We start from the raw sequence: 18,947 nt of genomic DNA on the forward strand, positions 1-18,947 counted from the left end.
GTCTCTTAAAAAATGAACTCTTCTCCAGGAATGCAAGGGTAGCCCCAGTGTCTTTCAACGTGGGCACGCTGTTGAAGTTGCAGGCCAAGCAGCAGGAATTGGTGGTCAGGGAAGCCCAAGGTGGAAATCAATCAGAAAATAAGCCACTGCAGGTTCCAGGCTGGGGGAAGTGTGAATATTAAGTAGATGGTACCACAGTGACAGATAATTAGGTCCAGAAATGATGCCAACTGATGAAATATCTCAGATAGATTAGTTTCCTTAGGACTGTTGTAACAAAGCACTACAAACTGAGCAGCTTATAAAATAGACATTTATTGTCTCACAGTTCTAGGGCTACAATTCCAAGATCCAGGTGTCAGCAGAGCCACACTCCCTTGGAGGGTGCTAAGGAAGGCTTCCAGATCTCTCCTGTCTTCAGGTAGTTCCTTGGCTTGTGGCAGCATAATTCCAACCTTCCCATGGTGTTCTCCCTGCATGTATCTATCTCCAAATTTCTACTTAAGAACGTCCGTCATATTGGATGAGAGACCCACCCTAACCCAGTGATTCCCTCTTCTTAACTAATTGTGTCTATATAGATTCTATGTCCAATAAGGTCACATTCTGAGGTACTGGGCATCAGACTTCAATGTATGGATTCTGCAGAGACACAGTTTGAGTGTCTTTGCTTAGGACGATCTTTCTCAGACACTGCACCTGACTCTCTGAGAACTTTAGAAATAGAAGAGGATTTAGGGTCCACTGAAAACCAGAAGACACTTAAGGTCACCTCCCTAAGCATCTACCTAAAAGGTTTTCAGAAAGGATGGGGTCTGTATTTACACTCGGATTCAAGTCTTTGGTACTGAAGGAACTGGCCTGGGAGCTGTAGACCAGGCTTGTGTAAAGCAGGCATGGGCTCATCAACACTGAGTGTCTCGCTCTACTGCACACTCACCCTCCCTCAACTCTATATATTCCCTCTCCACCCCCATGGCTCTCCTTTCCAACAAAGCAGGTGAAGGAGAGTGGGAAGAGCAGGGCAAGGAAGCTATTACTCACTTCCATGAATACAGGAGCTAGACATGGATGGGTTAACTTCAGTAGTCCATGTCTTGCTTGCTGTGATAGATGGGAATTTACCACAGCAACAAAAAGCCCTGACTGCCCTTGTGCAGGCCTTGGGGAGCTTGATGTGGACATCCTTCCATAGGCCTGGAAGCTGAGCATTTAAGGCTGGGTACCCTCTGGTCTGGCCCAGATGTGAATCCCACTTGGTCCTTGAAAAAGTGGCCTGGAATCCAAGTGAAGCAACTGCACCGTGGAGGAGGCCTCCAGTGGTTCCAATGGAGACCAGGAGCCCAGTTTAGTAGGAAGATTCAGAGCAAGCCACTGAAGGTTTACAGAAGCACAATGGCCTTGTTTTTGCTCTTCTGATGGTAGACTGCATCCACTGATGAACCGGCAGCTAGACTGGGGAGATGAGGTGTGTTTATGGTGATCCTGGAAAATCAGGGAGGGGCAGGGAGTGGAAACACTCCAAATAACACTCCAAATGAGGCTTTGCTGGCTCCTTTAGTTTTCCCTTTTACTCCAAACTACAGAAGTCCTAAAATGGGAAGGAGAATGGTGAGAAGGAAGAGGGTACTGGCCTAGTTAGAGGACCAGATTTATTTTGGTCAAAAATTGACGTTTTTCCTCTCCTGATGCCTTTAAACCAAACACTGCTCCCCAAAAGCTGGGGCTTTTTAGGCACTTGACCAGACTAGGAAGATTCCAAGACTGAGATGCACAGTGAGCTTAGGGGTTGCCTCCCCAATCTGGGACTCGGCTCACTTATTGCAGACCCTGTCTCCCATGCCTGGTCCTGAGGACATCTGGAGAAGATCCCTCACCAACCAACAGGTGGCTTCAGGTGGTGGGGGTGAGCATCCTGGGAAACCGGGGCCTGGCCCTCTTGGAGGGACATCAGGGTGGGGAATACATTTTCTTTTCAGAGACTCAAAGATCCTTTGGGAGGTGGGAGGGAAAGATGCGAGATCTCTGTTTGAAAATATCAGTTTGCGTTTAGGTCTTGCTGCTACAGTACGTTTTCCTCTCCTCCCTCCCAGAAGATAGCCTGGCCTTTGTGTTCCCAGCCAGCATGAGGGACGCTTTGTGTGGCTCTGCAGGAAGTATCCGTTGCCAGGCACCCAGAAGACACCCCTCCTCCTGGCTTTTGTTTTGCCTAGGCCTGGGCTGTTGGAGGGGAATTGTGCTGCCTGAGAGGGACAGAGAATGAGTGAGTGCTCAGGGTTGAAAAGACCCACGCAGCTGTAGGGGAGGGAGGTTTTCAAGAGCTCTCCTCTGGAACTAAGAAGGGAATGGGGCTTCTGTGATTTCCACACCTAGAGAAGCAACGCTTTCCCCAACATATCTTGAGTGTTTGGGGGTGGAAGATGGCAGAATCACGGAAGATTGCATTCCGGGTTCATGCAGAATGGCTGCCCCTCCACTCCTCACCCAGTCCTAGTAGAAATTAGAAAAGGAAGCCTTAAGCTGGCCCCCTCACACACAGGGGTGGGTGAGCGGACTGAAGCCTAGATTTCTGTTCCCACTGAATCCTTCACTTACACAAACCTCATCAGCCCACTTCTCTCCACCTAACTCATTGGAGTTATTTTTTATTCTTCTGTGGGATTTTTCAACATGCCTCCAGTTCTCACTATACCACCTCCTGACTTCTATAACTAAATTTATTTTTATATTCTCAATGTTTATAGCCTTTATGGGTTTAGTCTCTCTAGCTCTAATTAATTTATTCATGTCATGTATATATATTTATTTTTAAAACCAGGATTCACCATGCAGCATTTACAATAGTATGATTATAAATCTAGGATTCACTGCAGAACTAAAGTAACGCTGTTGGATAAATAAGGAAATGTACTCACTTGTGACTAAAAGCTGTGACACTAGAAGAAAAAATATGTCCAAATTTTAAAGTCAACAATATATTTTCTTATACTATATCAATTGCACAAAATTATGCCACATTTTATAATAGATTGCTTTATATTTGAACCCTGACTTTCTTTTAGATAAGTTTGTTTTTCTTATAGTTTCTAATTGCCTTTGTTTTTTCCTAGGAGAAGCATAGGGCTTTACCTTTTCACTAATGTCATTTAGCTTCTTAGTGATATTTGTCAAGGTGAATCCACTGATCTTTGACTTCTTGTTTAATTTGAGCAGGTTGCTTTTTAGATTTGCTGCATAATCTTCATGGGTTTGTCTCCCCTTTCTTGTTCTTATACCTTCTTCTTTGGATTCATTTTAAGTTTTGATGAAGTAGATGCTCAATACTTTTTTAGAAGAGTGATTGGTAGAAGACCTTCTGAGCTATGCATGTCTGAGAATACCTTTATATTGTCTTCATGTTTGAGTAATGATGTGGGTTGGCATATAACTCTAAGTTGAAAATAACTTTTCCTCAGAACTTTGAAACCAAGCATCTAGCCATAAGGACAGGAAATTGGATGCCCACCTGATTTTCATTCCTTTTAGAAAAATGATATACCTTCCCTGCTCTGACTCTCAAAATCTCTTAAGCCATTTTATTTATCTATGGTATTCTGAAATTTCATATCTTGATATTAATCTTTCCCCATCTACTAATCTTTCTCAATACGTTTCAATATGAGTTGTTAGATTTTTCTTTACACTTTAGAAATGTTATTGTATAATTTAATTTACTATTTTATCTCCTTTATTTTCTTATTTTCTATTTCTGGAACTCCCCTTGAACAGATTTTGGGTTGATCCTCCATATGTTAGTTATCTATTGCTGCATAACGAATTATGACAAACTTAGCAGCTTAAAAACATGTGCGCGCGCACACACACACACACACACACACTTATTGTCTCATGGTTTCTGTTAGCTGGGTCCTCTGCTGAGGGTCCCAAAAGGCTGCAATGAAGATATAACCTGGGCTGCAGTTTCATATAAAGGCCTAACTGGGGAAGAATCTGCTTCCAAGCTTGGCAGAATTTATTTCCCTACAGCTACAATGGCCCTAGTTCATTGGAGATTATTGACTAGCAGCTGCCCTCAGCTCCTGGAGGCCACCCCCAGATGGGCCTATCAACATGGCTGTCCACTTCTTCAAAGCCAGCTCAGGAAAGGGAATCCTTAGTTCTTGTCTTCTAGTGAGAAAGGGTCTTGTATAATGTAATATAATCACAAAAGTGACATTCTATCATCTTTGTCACAATCCATTAAATAGAAGAAAGTCATGTTCAAGAGAGCTCTCATACAACACAGTGGCTATAGTTAATACCAATGTATTGTACTCCTAAAAATTACTGAGAGTGGGCCGGGCATGATGGCTCATGCCTGTAACCCCAGCACTTTGGGAGGATGAGGCAGGTGGATCACCTGCGGTCAGGAGTTCGAGACAAGACTGGCCAACATGGTGAAACCCTGTCTCTACTAAAAATACAAAAATTAGCCTGGCGTGATGGCAGGCACTTTTAATCCCAGCCACTCAGGAGGCTGAGGCAGGAGAATCGCTTGAACCCGGGAGGTGGAGGTTGCAGTGAGTCAAGATCGTGCCTCTATACTCCAGCCTGGGCAATAAGAGCAAAACTCAATCTCAAAAAAAAAAAAAAAAAAAAAAGACTGAGAGTACATTTTAAATGTCAACAGAAAAACTTAAGTATGTGAGGTAGTACATAGGTTGACTTGGACATTCCACAGTGTTTAAATATTTCAGAACATCATGTTGTACATGATAAATATATACAATTTTATTTGTCAATTATAAATAAGTACATCAAAGAAGAAGTCACAGGTTCTGCCCACACTCAAGAAGAAGGGATTATACAGGGGTATGAACACCAGGAGGTAGGAATCATGGAAGGGCCACCATAGAGTGTATATACTGTACCCCATGTCTCCCAGTCGCCTCCCTCATCCCTAACCTATGCACCTAGTTTTCATTTTTAAACTTTTCTACCCTTTAATCCATGCCCCATAAGATTTCCTCTTTTTTTGAAGTAAGGAGAAAATGACAATACAGTAGTGTGATATCCTGGAAGTCTAGTAATGGACATATTTCAAGGGAGAGGAAGTGGTAAGCAATGTTAAAACTATAGTTTGCTGATGAGTCATGAAAGATAAGGACTGATCATTCACCACTGAATTTAGTGACATGGAATAATTATGACTTTGGCAAGAACAGTTTCAGTGGAATGCTAGCAGTAGAAGCCTGTTTAGAGTGGGTTCCATAGAGAATGAGAGGAGAGCAACTAGAGTCAGAAGCTATGGACAACTCTCTGGAGGAGTTTTTCTACTACGAGAAACACAGACCATGGGGCAGTGTTGGTCAAGGGTGCAGGATCAAAAGAGAGATTCTTTAAGACGGGAGAAGTCATTGCACATTTGTGTGCAGGCATTAATAATCCAGGAGAGAAGGAGCAAAAAATAATGTGATACAGGAGAGAAAGGGGACAATAGCTGGAGCAATGACCTTTAATAAATAAGAAGAAACAGGATCTGGCATCCAAGGGAAAAGGTTGACCATAGATAGCAGCATAGATAGGTTATCCATGATAAGATGAAGAAGGATAACCAAGAAGGGAAAGGTTAACAGCAGGAATGAGGCCTATCTCCCCTGGGGGGACATTGGCCAGGGGCATGATTGACCTTGACTAGACCTCCTTCTAAATATGTTAATGATATTTACTGTCATCAGTTAAGACAACCTAGAGTTATATAACAACCCACACCATTACTCCAGCATGAAGGCAAAATAAAGGCATTTTCAGGCATGCATTGCTGAATGGGAAATCTGTTTTTCCTCTACTACTCTACTACTACTCTTTCTTCACTCCTGACATCAGATGTGTGGGTTTTTTTCCCCACATCAAGCAATTCTCTAATATTTTAGAGACACTAATTGGGTGTCCTACAATTCAGTTCTGACCCTATCTTCCTGGAATTGGTGCAGACTTCATAGGTTAAGAGTCCAGTCCCACAACACCGCCCCCACTTCCTGCCTGTCTCAAGTCCAGGTCCATAAATTGGAGGTTCCCACAACCCCCCTCCTCAGGTTCAATTATTTGCTAGAATGGCTCACAGAACTCAGGAAAGCAATTTACTTATTAGATTACTGGTTTATTAAAAAGATACAACTCAGGAAGAGTATAGGACAGAGGAAAGAGAAGTATAGGACAAGCAAGTTATGTGGAAAGTGGCACACAGCTTTCACGCCTCTCCAGACATGCCATTCTCCCAGCACCTCCATGTATTCCACAACCTGGGAACATTCCAGACCCCATCCTTCTGGGTTTTTATGGAGGCTTCTTTACATAGGCAGCACTGGCTAAACCCTTGGCCATTGGTGATTCAGTCACTCTCCAGTCCCTCGCCTCCCTAAAGGTCAGGGAGTGGGGCTGCAAGTTTCAACCCTCTAATCACATGGTTGGTTCCCTTGACAAACCAAGCCCCACCCTCAGAAGCTTTCCAAAACTTACCCCATTAACATAAACTCAGATGTAATTGAAAGGGGCTTGTGATAAATAACAAAAGATTCTCCTTCATCAGCCCTATCACTTAGGAAATTACAAAGATTTTAGAAGCTCTATGCCAGGACCCAAAGACAATGAACAAAATATAAATTCTTATTATATCACAATATCACATTAGCTCAGAGGTTTTCTGTCATTCATCCTTCTGAAAATAAAATATTGAGGCTATTCCTCAGCAGAATCTAAAATAAATATAAGGGGCTGGGTGTGGTGGCTCACGTCTATAATCCCACCAAGGTGGGTGGAACACTTGAGGTCAGGAGTTCCAGATCAGTCTGGCCAACATGGTGAAACCTCATCTCTACTACAAAATTAGCCAGTCATGGTGGCACATGTCTGCAGTCCCACCTACTCAGAAGGCTGAGGCAGGAGACTCACTTGAACCTGGAAGGCAGAGGTTGCAGTGAGCCAAGATTGCACCATTAAACTCCAGCCTAGGCAACAGAGTGAGACTCTGCCAAAAAAAAAAAAAAAAAAAAAAGAATATAAGTGATATAGGAGTTAAAAAAAATTATTTAGGCAGATAGTGAGGGTAAGGAAGTCCTCAGTAAGGTTTTCTTTTTAATGAAAAACAGGCTCCAAATCATTTTCTTTTCTAACAAAGAACAGCCTGTAAAATCGAGCTGCAGACATAGACAAGCAAAGTGGAAGCTTGCACAGGTGAATGCTGGCAGCTGTACAAGTAGGAAAAGGCTACCTGGGACTAGGCATGTTCAAACTGGCGGCTCCATCTTTCTTTCTCTTTGCCAGCCACGTGTACAGTAAGGAGAAGACAACTTGGCCCCAGCCAAGTGGAAAGCCCATTTGCATAATAAGATTAAGGTGGGATGGCCAGCCTTCCCCCTGTGCTATATAAACGTTACACCTGGTCCAACCATTCTGTGGGCCCTATGTAAATCAGACACCACCTCCTCAAGCCTGTCTGTAAAATCCGGTGCACTCCCATTCCAGGCTCGAATTCTCATTCGGGAGACCCTCTCTCTTGCAAGAGAGAGAGCTGTTCTCCTTTCTCTTTCTTTTTCCTATTAAATCTCCACTCCTAAAATCACTCCTTGTTTGTGTCTGTGTCCTTAATCTTCTTGATGTGAGATGACAAACCCTGTGCATTTACACGAGACAATAGTGCCGTTTCATAAGGAAGAAGAAGAATCAAGTCAAGATTGCTTATTGTAAGTTAGCCTAGAATTTATGGAGTTATGTAACATGACTGGTTGGTGAATGGATGGCACACAACTAAATATCTTCCTTTGAGAAATAAAAATAAAACTCTAAGTCCCCCAGCTAACTGAACAGACACCTTCTTGGCCAAGGGGACCCCAGAAAAACCTTAAAAACCAAGTCCTCGGTCGTGACAGAATGTGATGCTGGACACGCCTCATTAGAGCTCCTCCTCCACTGACTACTGCTAGGCTTTCTTCCCTAAGGGGTAAACAGAAACCAGTCCTTTTGAAACCAACCACCTGATGCTGCCCCTCCCTGTTGTGGTTTTGACAGAACAACTGATCAACATTCCTTCCTGATAAGAGACCACTGGCCATGGAGTGGATAGCAGAGGCTGCACACAGAGGGCCTTCCTGTCCTCTGCTTCACCTTTTGATGGATAGGGTCTAATTGTAATATATTTAAATGTTAAGTGTCCACCCCAAAGTGAACATGGGATGCATGCTGCATGCGTGTCAGCCTTCCCACTACACACACCTGTGCCTTCTCTTCTTGAATATCCATAGCTCCTCCTTTAACCTGTTGAATATGTATACTTAGCCAACTGACTCGGCATAAATTCCTGTTCCCTTCACCCCTCTCTTGAAGTGTGTTTCCTTCCCAGCCTGTCAGAATGGCCACCTGCAGGCTGCAACCCTTTATGAGAAATATGGCTTTTCTTTCCAAATTTATGAACCTCCCTCATGATTCTTCAACTGACACTTTGAAAACAATTATTTCACATACAATTGTTCAGAAGACAATTGTTAATCTGAAAACAAAATGTATACTCATAAGGGAGACAGAGATATTGTTTTTTAAACTGGAGTCTGACAGATTCCTGCTCCTCTCAAAAGAAATGCCACATCTGTCCATGGTCTGGTTCTTGCCTGTAGTCTTTGAATTATTAGTGAAGTTTGGTGCTGGGTAAGATCTACCATTCAAGTGTGGCTGCTTTGACAATTCTGCCCTTCTACTTTTTTTTTTTTTTTTTTTTAGATGGAGTCTCACTCTGTCACCCAGGCTGGAGCACAGTGGCATGATCTCGGCTCACTGCCACCTCCGCCTCTCGGGTTCAAGCGATTCTTCTGCCTCAGCCTCCCAAGTAGCTGGGACTACAGGCATGCACTACCATACCTGGCTAATTTTGCATTTTTAGTAGAGACAGAGTTTCACCGTGTTGATCAGGCTGGTCTTGAATTCCTAACCTCAGGTGATCCACCCTCCTCGGCCTCCCAAAGTGCTGGGATTACAGGCATGAGCCACCGCGCCTGGCCTGCCCTTCTACTCTTAAGGCAGGTAGGTGGGCAGATGTCATTGTGGGAGTGTGGTATACACAATGTCTTCTCTAGACTTAAAAAAAATTCTCTTTGGCTCCCTGGATAAACTTTGATTTCTCTAGATTTAGTCATTCTGTTTATTCCTATTGGTCCTTCTCTTTCAATCACTAATTTTGGGAAATTGCTCTTGGTTACCTGGCAACAAGCTTGTTGAGACTGATGGCTCATGTTTCCCAGAGAAAGAGCCTGAGTTTTCCCATGTGCTCAAGTGCTGCCCTGCATCCACTGGGATGGCTTCTACCAGAATTCAGCTTCTCACAGTAGTAGGCACTGTCCAATTCTCCAGATGCTGAAAGCTGGTATTTTCCAGGGGTGATTGGTGCCTAAGCTCAGACTTCTTAGTACTTGAGGTCAAAATGTTTATTTCTCACATTCAAGGCCATTGTTGGGCTCACTTTACACACAGGGAGTGCAACAGGAATTCAGGGTCTCCAGCAGGAGACCCTTGTGTTCAGCAGCTCCCCGAATCAAGCATGCCTCTCTCTACAGGATGTGGGTGGCATGAGTCCCAAGTACTTTTTGCTCCCAACCTCCACCATTTGTAGCCTCTGGTGTTTACCCTGACCCCTTTGGCAATGGTCTGCTGATCCTTGATGGTCTCTTATATCTACATGAAGGGCTAGACTGACTGATGCATGTGGTTGTTATGCTTCCCAAAGCAACTGCATAGGTCTGTTCTCCCAACACAGCTTTTCCTGAAACAGGCAAGTTGTCATGGGGGTGGGGTGTGTGTGTGTGTGTGTGTGTGTGTGTGTGTGTGTGTGTGTGTGTGCTTATGCATGCATGCACATGCACTGAATCACAGGGTCTATCTACTTTGGGGTGGAAGCCCTGTAGGGAACATGTAGACCAATTTTGTTGTCAAAAAGGCTAGAGCTTTACTCTGGTGTGCCAACATCCACTCCTGCGGCCCTAAGCCCCAGAGTCATAGGTCATTGACTTTCTTTAGAAACCACACCTCTGTGGGGTTTTTCCCTGATGTTCCTAAAAGGGCCATATATGCAAAGCGGTCCCCAGATGCCAAAGGAGTCAATACATCAAAGAACAAAACTAGACAAATTCAGTTTGTCGGTAAAGGGTGGTTTATTGCAGAAACTTATAGATATAAGCGTGATCTTGGGTGGTCACAAGACACATAGATTTCCACACAGTTACCTCCCAGACCCAAAGCTCATATACAATAGGGAAAGAGTGGACATGTTGCAGCAAGATAATTAAAGACAACCCTCCAGAACAGGCAGGAATGCCATGTGCGTCATAGCCCATAACTTGTGTGACAGCATCATTTTTGACCTCTTCTTACACTAAGGGCAGTAAATAAAGTAGGAAGCAGGAGGCATTCATGGGACTAGGGCTTGTCAGAAGTCAACATGGTGGATTAGCACCCAAAATGGAGTCATTTTTGTCCCCACACCGGGGACTAAGCACGGTAGAACTGGTTCCTTGATAAATGTAGGGTTAGAAAAGATAGATGTCAAGGTAGCCACTAGCATTTAATGCCTTAAATGCCTGCTGCCTACTCTTGCTTTTGTTTTGGCCAATCCTGAGCTTAGGGGTCCCTGGAGCTTGCACAGGAGAACAGCTGCCACCTCCACTGTAGCCTTCTTTTGAAGGCACTCAGGTTGCTTGTCTTCTTATTCAATACTACACGATCTTCTTTCCGTATTCTAGAAACCAGTCAAAATCTCCAGTCCATTCATTGCCTGCTGTGGTTGTTTTCACCCTATATTTCTTTATTTGTAACATATACTCATTCAGCATTTTGCACTAAAACCTAACCACTATATTTTTAAAAGAGTCTGGGTTCGAAACAATAGGCTACTATGAACCCTGCCTTTTGTGTTTGCATAGGATATTAATATAGGACACCTTTGCTCTTGATATTGACTGCTGTCTCCAAAGGTTGAGTCAAAAATCATAGATGGTAAATGTTCCCATATTCCCAAGTGAAGTGCTTAGCCTCCTATACGGAGCTAGCAAAGAAGGTGATCAAAAACCTCTGCCATCCTAACATCCACCAAAGGGTTAAGAGGTTGAGATTGAGTAAGAATGCATGTTGAAAAAATTATTGGCAAGCTGATGTCTTTTTCTCCCCCTAACCCCAGACATTGCGGAGGGGAGAGACTCGGGGACCTTTACCCCAAGTGTAGTGAGAAGGGCTTCGGAGACACACTTGGAAAGGTTGATGAGTGTGGCTTAGAGTTGGTAATGTGTTTGGCTCTTACGCATGGAGCCAAAGCTAAAAGGCTAAGCTGATGCCATGTATGAGGGCAGAAAAGCTTGAGATTGCCATGAACCACATGGGCAATGAGGATTGTAACTGGATCCATCTGGAAGGAATCCTACATAGGAGAGCAGCTGAGTGAGGGGATCCCATCAGTATCAGGGCAAGGGAACAAGGGTCAGGTGCTGAAGGTGAGGGTTGTTACAACAGTTCAGCTAGAGAATGAGTCCCTCATGAGAAAACTGGGCAATGTGAAGTCTCACAGAGACCTCTGAAGAACCCACAAGTGCACTCAAAGGAAAAAAGTCAGCTTGGAGCCTCCATACCCCATCCTCAATTAGGGCCTCAGCTCAGCTGGGAAAGAGGAGAAAATCAAGGAAATCGAAAGGAAACTACCACATTCCTCTTTCCCACTGCAAGTTTCCAGCCCAGAGGAGGCCTGAACTGGGTAAGGAAGAAGTCTTAACTTAAGTTTGGATTTATTGCTCTACATGGAACTAGATATATCGATTATTGAAATAAAGCTGATATGACTAGAAGGAACTGAAGGTCTTTTTTATCTTCTGAGAGTTATTATAAGATTCTTGAGGCCTGTTTTGGATTTTATCCAACAAGCAGAGAAAAAAATACCTTTATAGAACAGGTTTGAAAGGGCAATGAAGAGAAATAATAAAGTTGTTTTCTGCTTGCCCTCCATGGAAGTCACATTTCTATTCTGCTCACTCATCCAATTTCAAAATGCCTTTTGAGAAAAGATGAAATGGGAATTAGAGGTAGCAATTTAGATGAATAGGGACAACAAATATGTTGCCAAATGTGATAAACCTTCATTCATTATTAACAAAAATAAATTGATCACCTATTGTGTGTCACGGCCTGTGCTAGGGAGGGGAGATTCAAATGTGAACAAGAGTGAGTCTATGCTACAGAATTATTAATCCGGTGTGAGAGTCAGACATGTAAACAAAGTATAGCCCAATGTGACATCATAATTCAGATGTATATGCAGAATTATATTGAAGCCTTCTCATATCTCATTTTGCTCACTTGTATTTCTTATCTGCATATTCTTAAAATTAATTTTTTTTAAGAGAGCTATCTACCGAAATTTGAAATTTTCTAGTAGGGAAATCAGAAGACCACAGTGGAATAGTGGGTGGAGTGAGGCCTGGGCATTAAGAAGTGTGAATTGGAGGCCGGACGCAGTGGCTCACGCCTGTAATCCCAGCACATTGGGAGGCCAAAGCGGGCAGATCACTTGAGGTCAGGAATTTGAGACAATCATGGCCAACATGGTGAAACCCTGTCTCTACTAAAAAATACAAAAATTAGCCAGGTGTAGTGGCAGGTGCCTGTAATCCCAGCTATTTAGGAGGCTGAGGCAGGAGAATCGCTTGAACCTGGGAGGCTGAGGTTGCAGTGAGCTGAGATTGCACCATTGCACTCCAGCTTGTGCAGCAAGAGCAAAACTCTGTTCCCCACCCCCCAAAAAAAGAAGTTTGAATTAGGTGGACCAAAAGAGAATTTACCCACTTCATGACTTTGCTGAGAGCCAGAGCTACTTGCCAAGGAACAAGTTTTGCAATAGCTATTATGTAAATTAAATCCAACTTTCTGTGATTAGAGCATGGTAGAAATTTGGCATGGTAACATGTCTTTTTCTTACACGTATTTTAAAAATCTTAACTAAACTAAAGCTATTTCTTGCATTTCACATTTGGATTTGGCAAACATGGTAAATAAGAAGAAAATGGATAATTTTTAAATGCTTCTGGTACATGGCTTTAGTCACAGACAAAAATTAAAAATGAGCTAGGCGTGGTGGCTCACACCTGTAATCTCAGCACCTGGGGAGGCAGAGGCAGGAGAATTACTTGAGGCCATGTGATGGTTAATATTAAGTGTCAACTTGATTGGATTGAATGATGCAAAGTATTGTTACTGGGTGTGTCTGTGAGGGTGTTGCCAAAGGAGATTAACATTTGAGTCAGTGGACTGGGAGAGGCAGACCCACCCTCAATCTGGGTGGGCACAATGCAATCAGCTGCCAGCACAGCTAGAATAAAAGCAGGCAGAAGAACATGGAAAGACTAGACTGGCTAAATCTTCTGGCCTCCATTTTTCTCCAGTGCTGGATGCTTCATACCCTCGATCACTGGACTCCAGGTTCTTCAGCTTTTGGACTCTTGGACCTACACCAGTGGTTTGCCAGGGGCTCTCGGGCCTTTGCCACAGACTGAAGGCTGCACTGTTAGCTTCCCTGCTTTTGAGATTTGGGGACTCGGACTGGCTTCTCTGCTCCTCAGCTTGCAGACGGCCTATTGTGGAACTTCACCTCGTGACTGTGTGAGTTGATACTCCTTAATAAACTCTCTTTCGTATATACATCTATCCTATCAGTCCTGTCCCTCTAGAGAACCCTGACTAATACAGGCTAGGAGTTCAAGACCAGTCTGGCCAACACAATGAGACCCCATCTCTACAAAAAATTAAAAAAATTAGGAGGGCATGGTGGTGCATGCCTGTAGTCCCAGCTACTCTGGAGGCTGAGGTGGGAGGATCACTTGAGCCCAGAAGTTCAAGGTTTACAGTGAACTCTGATTGTCCCACTGCACTCCAGCCTGGGCAACAGAGCAAGACCCTGTTTCTAAAAAAAAGGAATATAAATGAGAATAATAATAATCTTTATTAGTTTGTGGTTCAAAATCTTTTTCCTTTAGAGTTTTCGAAATAAGCAAGGTATGGGGACTGCAATAGATCATTTAAAGATCTTGAAGGAGATTATGGGGTTTTTGTTATTCTGTCAGATTAATATTCCTGATATGGTTTAGCTGTGTCCCTGCCCAAATCTCATCTTGAATTGTAGCTCCCATAATTCCCAAATGTTGTGGAAGGGATGCGGTAGGGGGTAATTGTATCATGGGAGCAGGTATTTCCCATACTTTTCTCATGATAGTGAATAAGTCTCATGAGAACTGATGGTTTTATAAAAGGGAGGTCCCTGGCACATGTCCTCTTGCCTGCCACCATTAAGACATGACTTTGCTCCTCATTCGCCTTCTGCCATGATTGTGAGGCTTCCCCAGCCACGTGGAACTGTGAGTCCATTAAACCTCTTTCCTTTATAAATTACCCAGTCTTGGGTATGTCTTTATTAGCAGTGTGAGAACACACTAATACACAGCCTTCTTAGAAATATGGTATTTTGGCCATCCAGTTATTTAAAGACTACTTTAAATCTGACAAGTGTTGAATCAACATATATGAATTTATTTTTCTGTTCAATAACTTTAAAAATTTTTGTATGAAGAGAAAAGAGTGATGTATCTTAGCCTTTTTTGTTTTTAACATTTTACTTTTCTCATTTTGAACCCAGTTTACTTGAGGTTAGAATTTTTTTCTCCATGTGATAGAATAGATGTGGGTGAAAAGATTATCAATTTTTACGTTGTTCGTATAACCGCTATATAGTTCAAGGAAAGGTCCTATCTTTTCCCTTCCTATCCTGCCCTCTAGCTCCCTCAATGAACAGCTACCCTTTCTAAGTAAATTTAAATTATTAGTAGTGGTTATGAATTTGATCTACAGTACTTATATGTGCAAACGATTGTATTATTTATTCTAAATTACATACATCAGTCATGTTTTGGGAGTGTCATTAGGGATCTGAGGACTTACATGATGCCCCCCAAACACATAAAAGGCATCTTGTCTTCACTATATCATTGCTGGGGTTGAGACACCCATCTGGCATATTTCCACTGCTGAGAACTATGCCTAGCACATCTCGGGCAGTCAATTCATATTTGTTGAATAAATAAATGAATGCTTGAATGGTTTATTCAAAGTGGGCAGGAAGAATTGTTACCTCAGTGTCCAAGGCCATGATCCTTAGTTGTTGGTGTCTGAAGGGGTCAATACATGGCACTTCCTTTTCTCTGCTACTTGAGTTAAGGACCCATTGAGAGACAGGTGCGGGAACAGTGCAGGTAGAGATCAAAATATCACTTTAGATACTGAGAAAACTAGGCTGGGGAGGATGACTGAATGGTTTGCTAATACCAAACCCCAGAGATAGACTGGTTCACCTGCCCAGCCAAGGCTGCAACTGCAGTCCTTGTTCCTTAGGGCAGAGCCTGGAGAATTGATAGCAGAAGAGATCAAGGAAGAATGGAATAGACCTGGGATGTGCAGACCTGGTTCCTTCCGCCAACCTATTCATCAGAGCAGTGGCTTCTCCTTGCCTGGGAGGACCAACAGTTATGGGTGGAGAGAGATTAGGTGTTTGACTCATGGAGTTCCCTCCATGTGGGAGGAAACATCAGGAAACACTCCCCTTGACATAAGTACACTCCCCTTGACATTAGTATTAATACTCATTATTAGTATTCAGTTCCTTTATCAGTTACGAGCCACCTCATAAGGAAGGTCTTAGGTCCTCTTGGGGCACAAGGACCCACTCAGCATGAACCCCCTAAATGCCAGTTTCTCCTCAGGTTCTGGAACCAATACTCCTGCATCCTTGTCTGGTCAGTTCTGGCTCCTCCACCCACAGTACAGGCCTCCCTTGATGGTCCTCTATTCCTGGAACAAAAGCCAAGCTGGAGGATTGGTGAGGCAGGGAAGGGCTTACTCTGAGCATGTTCCACCTTCTGTTTTTAGTTCAACAATAAAAATATCCTGACGTCAGGGAGCACAGAGTCAGAATCTAATTTCTTAGGGTGTGAAAGGAGGAAAAAACAATCCCATTCTTCAGGTTCCCTACAAAATTTTTTTAAAATGCGAATAAATATTCCAATAATTTATTCTGCTCCCCAGGATAAAATAGCATTTGTAATTTAAATAATAGGCATTTTGGTGGTTTGGTTTAAAATTCAGCATTGATAATGGAGAGGAAATACAGCATACAGTTTAACTCGTCCTTCCCCTCATGCTTCATTGAAGACTTAGCGCAGGAACTCAATAATTATATGTTGACAGAAAGAAGTCTTGGAAGGATGGGACTCTGGCCAATTACAAAACAGTCAATTCTTAATGTTCCCCCTGCAAGTGGGACTTCTGGTGGTACAGGCAGCTGCCTGCTGAAAGATCTGTTTGGCTCACTATGGCTTTCAAAACAGTTCTGCTACCAGAAAGGCCAGCATCAAAATATAACGATAAATATAACCATGGACAGGCTTTCTCTCTGGATGTGGTTGAGGAAACATCCCTCAGATACTGTTTGCCACAATCTTATGAGCATGAGGGAGAGCCAGATTTATGTGATTAGAACAATGAGAGGAGGCAGATATGCTGGGTCTTTAATAACATCTTTAAAAACTTACAAATCAAACCAATCCTATCTGACCTCTGAAATTTTGAGTGACATGAGCTTACAAAATATCTTTATTATTTGAGCTTAAAAGTCAACAGATAGAAACACTTAGAAAGGAACAGTAACATCTTGAGCTATTTTTCACCATAAATTTGGCTTTTTAAATTAATTCTTGTCACTAGGCAGGCTTTCAAGAAGTAGAGCACAAGGAAAATACATTTTGATAAGAGGGGTGAGGGAAAAAGACAAAAAGGAAGAAGAAGAGAAAGATAAAGAAAAACAGAAAGTAATTTTTAAAGCCAGCCTCTGGATTCAAATTTTTACCAGATTAAAAGAGACTGAGAAAAAGAAAAGCTATCCAGAGAATTTTTTATAATGGTAAATCATTCAATGTAAAGGACTTCCTTTTATTTTGAGATTAGGTTCTTCCAACTATTTTTTGATATTAAAATATGAATCCTTTTTTAAAAACATGAATTTGGGCCAGGCACAGTGGCTCATGTCTGTAATCCCAGGACTTTGGGAGGCCTAGACAGGCTGATCACTTGAGGTCAGGAGTTCAAGACCAGCTTGACCAATATGGTGAAACCCCATCTCTACTAAAAATACAAATAATAGATGGGCATGGTGGCAGTCGCCTGTAGTCCCAGCTACTCGGGAGGCTGAGACATGAGAATCGCTTGAACCCAGGAGTTGGAGGTTGCAGTGAGCTGAGATTGCGCCATTGCACTCCAGCCTGGGCGACAGAGTGAGACTCTGTCTCAAAACAAAACAAAAACAAAGAAGCAAACAAACAAACAAACAGAAAACATGAAAGTGGTGATAGAGAGTAGTTGCTTAGTTTTTTGTTTTTTGTAATTTCTCTATTTGAAATTTTTTAAAAGAAACTAGACAACTTTTTATGGTCCACTCTATTAAAAAAAAAAAAAAGATGTATAATCCATAAGGTCCAAGATTTAAGAACCACTTCACAGTAGAATGAGTCAAGGCCCTAGAATGCATAGGACCAGAAGGACCCATGTTGAGACTAAGGGTTGGGAAGCTCCAGCAGAAAGGGGAAGGCATGAAAACAGAGAAAAGCTAAGACAGAAAGATGGAGAGTATGTTAGTCCATTTTCATGGTGCTGATAAAGACATACCTGAGACTGGGCAACTTACAAAAGAAAGAGGTTTATTGGACTTACAGTTCCATATGGCTGGGGAGGCCTCACAATTATGATGGAAGGTGAAAGTCATGTCTCTCACGGTGGCAGACAAGAGAAAAGGCTTGTGCAGGGAAACTCCCCTTTTTCAAACCATCAGATCTCGTGAGACTTACTCAATATCACGGGAACAGCACAGGAAAGACCCACCCCCATGACTGAATCACCTCCCACTGGGTTCCTCCCACAACATGTGGGAATTTAAGATGAGATTTGGGTGGGGACACAGCCAAACCATATCAGAGAGGCAGATGGAAAGAGCAGAAGAGAGCTGGTGAAAGGGAGAATTAAAGAGTTCTTCAATCCTCTTCCTTTGTATGACCTCTGACTACTTAAATGAATTTTATATACGTGTGTGTGTGTGTGTGTGTCACAATGCTTAGTGCAATGAGCATTATATGTGTTTTCTGTGATAAGACTAATATACCGCACTCATAATTATATAATGGAAGAAAATGAAAAGAAGAACACTAATATTTGATGTCTGGCATCCATTATCTCATTGGCTTCTAACAAACTACCTTTTCACCCTCACTTTAAAGGACAGAAACATGAGTATGTAAAGAGCTATTTAAGGCCACAGGGTCTGTGAAGGAGGAAAGCCTACTGAAACCAAAGACATAGTCTTTCAGCTGCACCACACTACTTCAGTGCTGAGGCTATCCAAAACATAGCAAGTACAAAATTGCTGATGTGTAGGTTTAGGCTATTAATAGCGTATGATTTTTAAAATTTCGTACAGAATATTAACTATCCCAATTGTATTTGACTCAGGCCAATGGCAAAACGAATGTGCATCCTGGTCCCAGAATCAGAATTGACCATGTGTCAATTACTGATAAGAAGCTTTAGCTGGGTGTGGTGGTGGGTGCCTGTAGTCTCAGCTACTTGGGAGGCTGAGGTGGGAGGACTGCTGGAGCCTGTGAGGTGGAGGTTGCAGTGAGCCATGATTGTGCCACTTCACTCCAGCCTTGCAGAGTGAGACCCCATCTCAAAAAAAAAAAAAAAAAAAAAAGAAGAAGTTAAAAGTTTGCCCAGAAGAGAAGGAGGTGCCTAAAGTTAAGACTTGTAGAACCTTATTTTGTTTTTTGGAATTTAAACTCATTAAGCACAGA

At 42.6% G+C, this 18,947-nt stretch overlaps 1 long non-coding RNA gene across 1 annotated transcript in view; it reads left to right on the forward strand.

Annotated features, from left to right (window-relative positions):
- Positions 1 to 9,697: 9,697 nt before the first annotated feature.
- LOC124901404 (uncharacterized) overlaps positions 9,698 to 18,947 on the forward strand; it is a 39,387-nt gene continuing 30,137 nt past the window's right edge. Inside the window, exons 1-2 of the long non-coding RNA XR_007059774.1 lie at positions 9,698 to 11,764; positions 13,446 to 13,662. This is a non-coding gene — a long non-coding RNA (uncharacterized LOC124901404). The remainder of the gene's footprint in view (positions 11,765 to 13,445; positions 13,663 to 18,947) is intronic.

Source organism: Homo sapiens, chromosome 6 (genome assembly GCF_000001405.40).
Source record: "Homo sapiens chromosome 6, GRCh38.p14 Primary Assembly".
Lineage (NCBI taxonomy): Eukaryota > Metazoa > Chordata > Mammalia > Primates > Hominidae > Homo > Homo sapiens.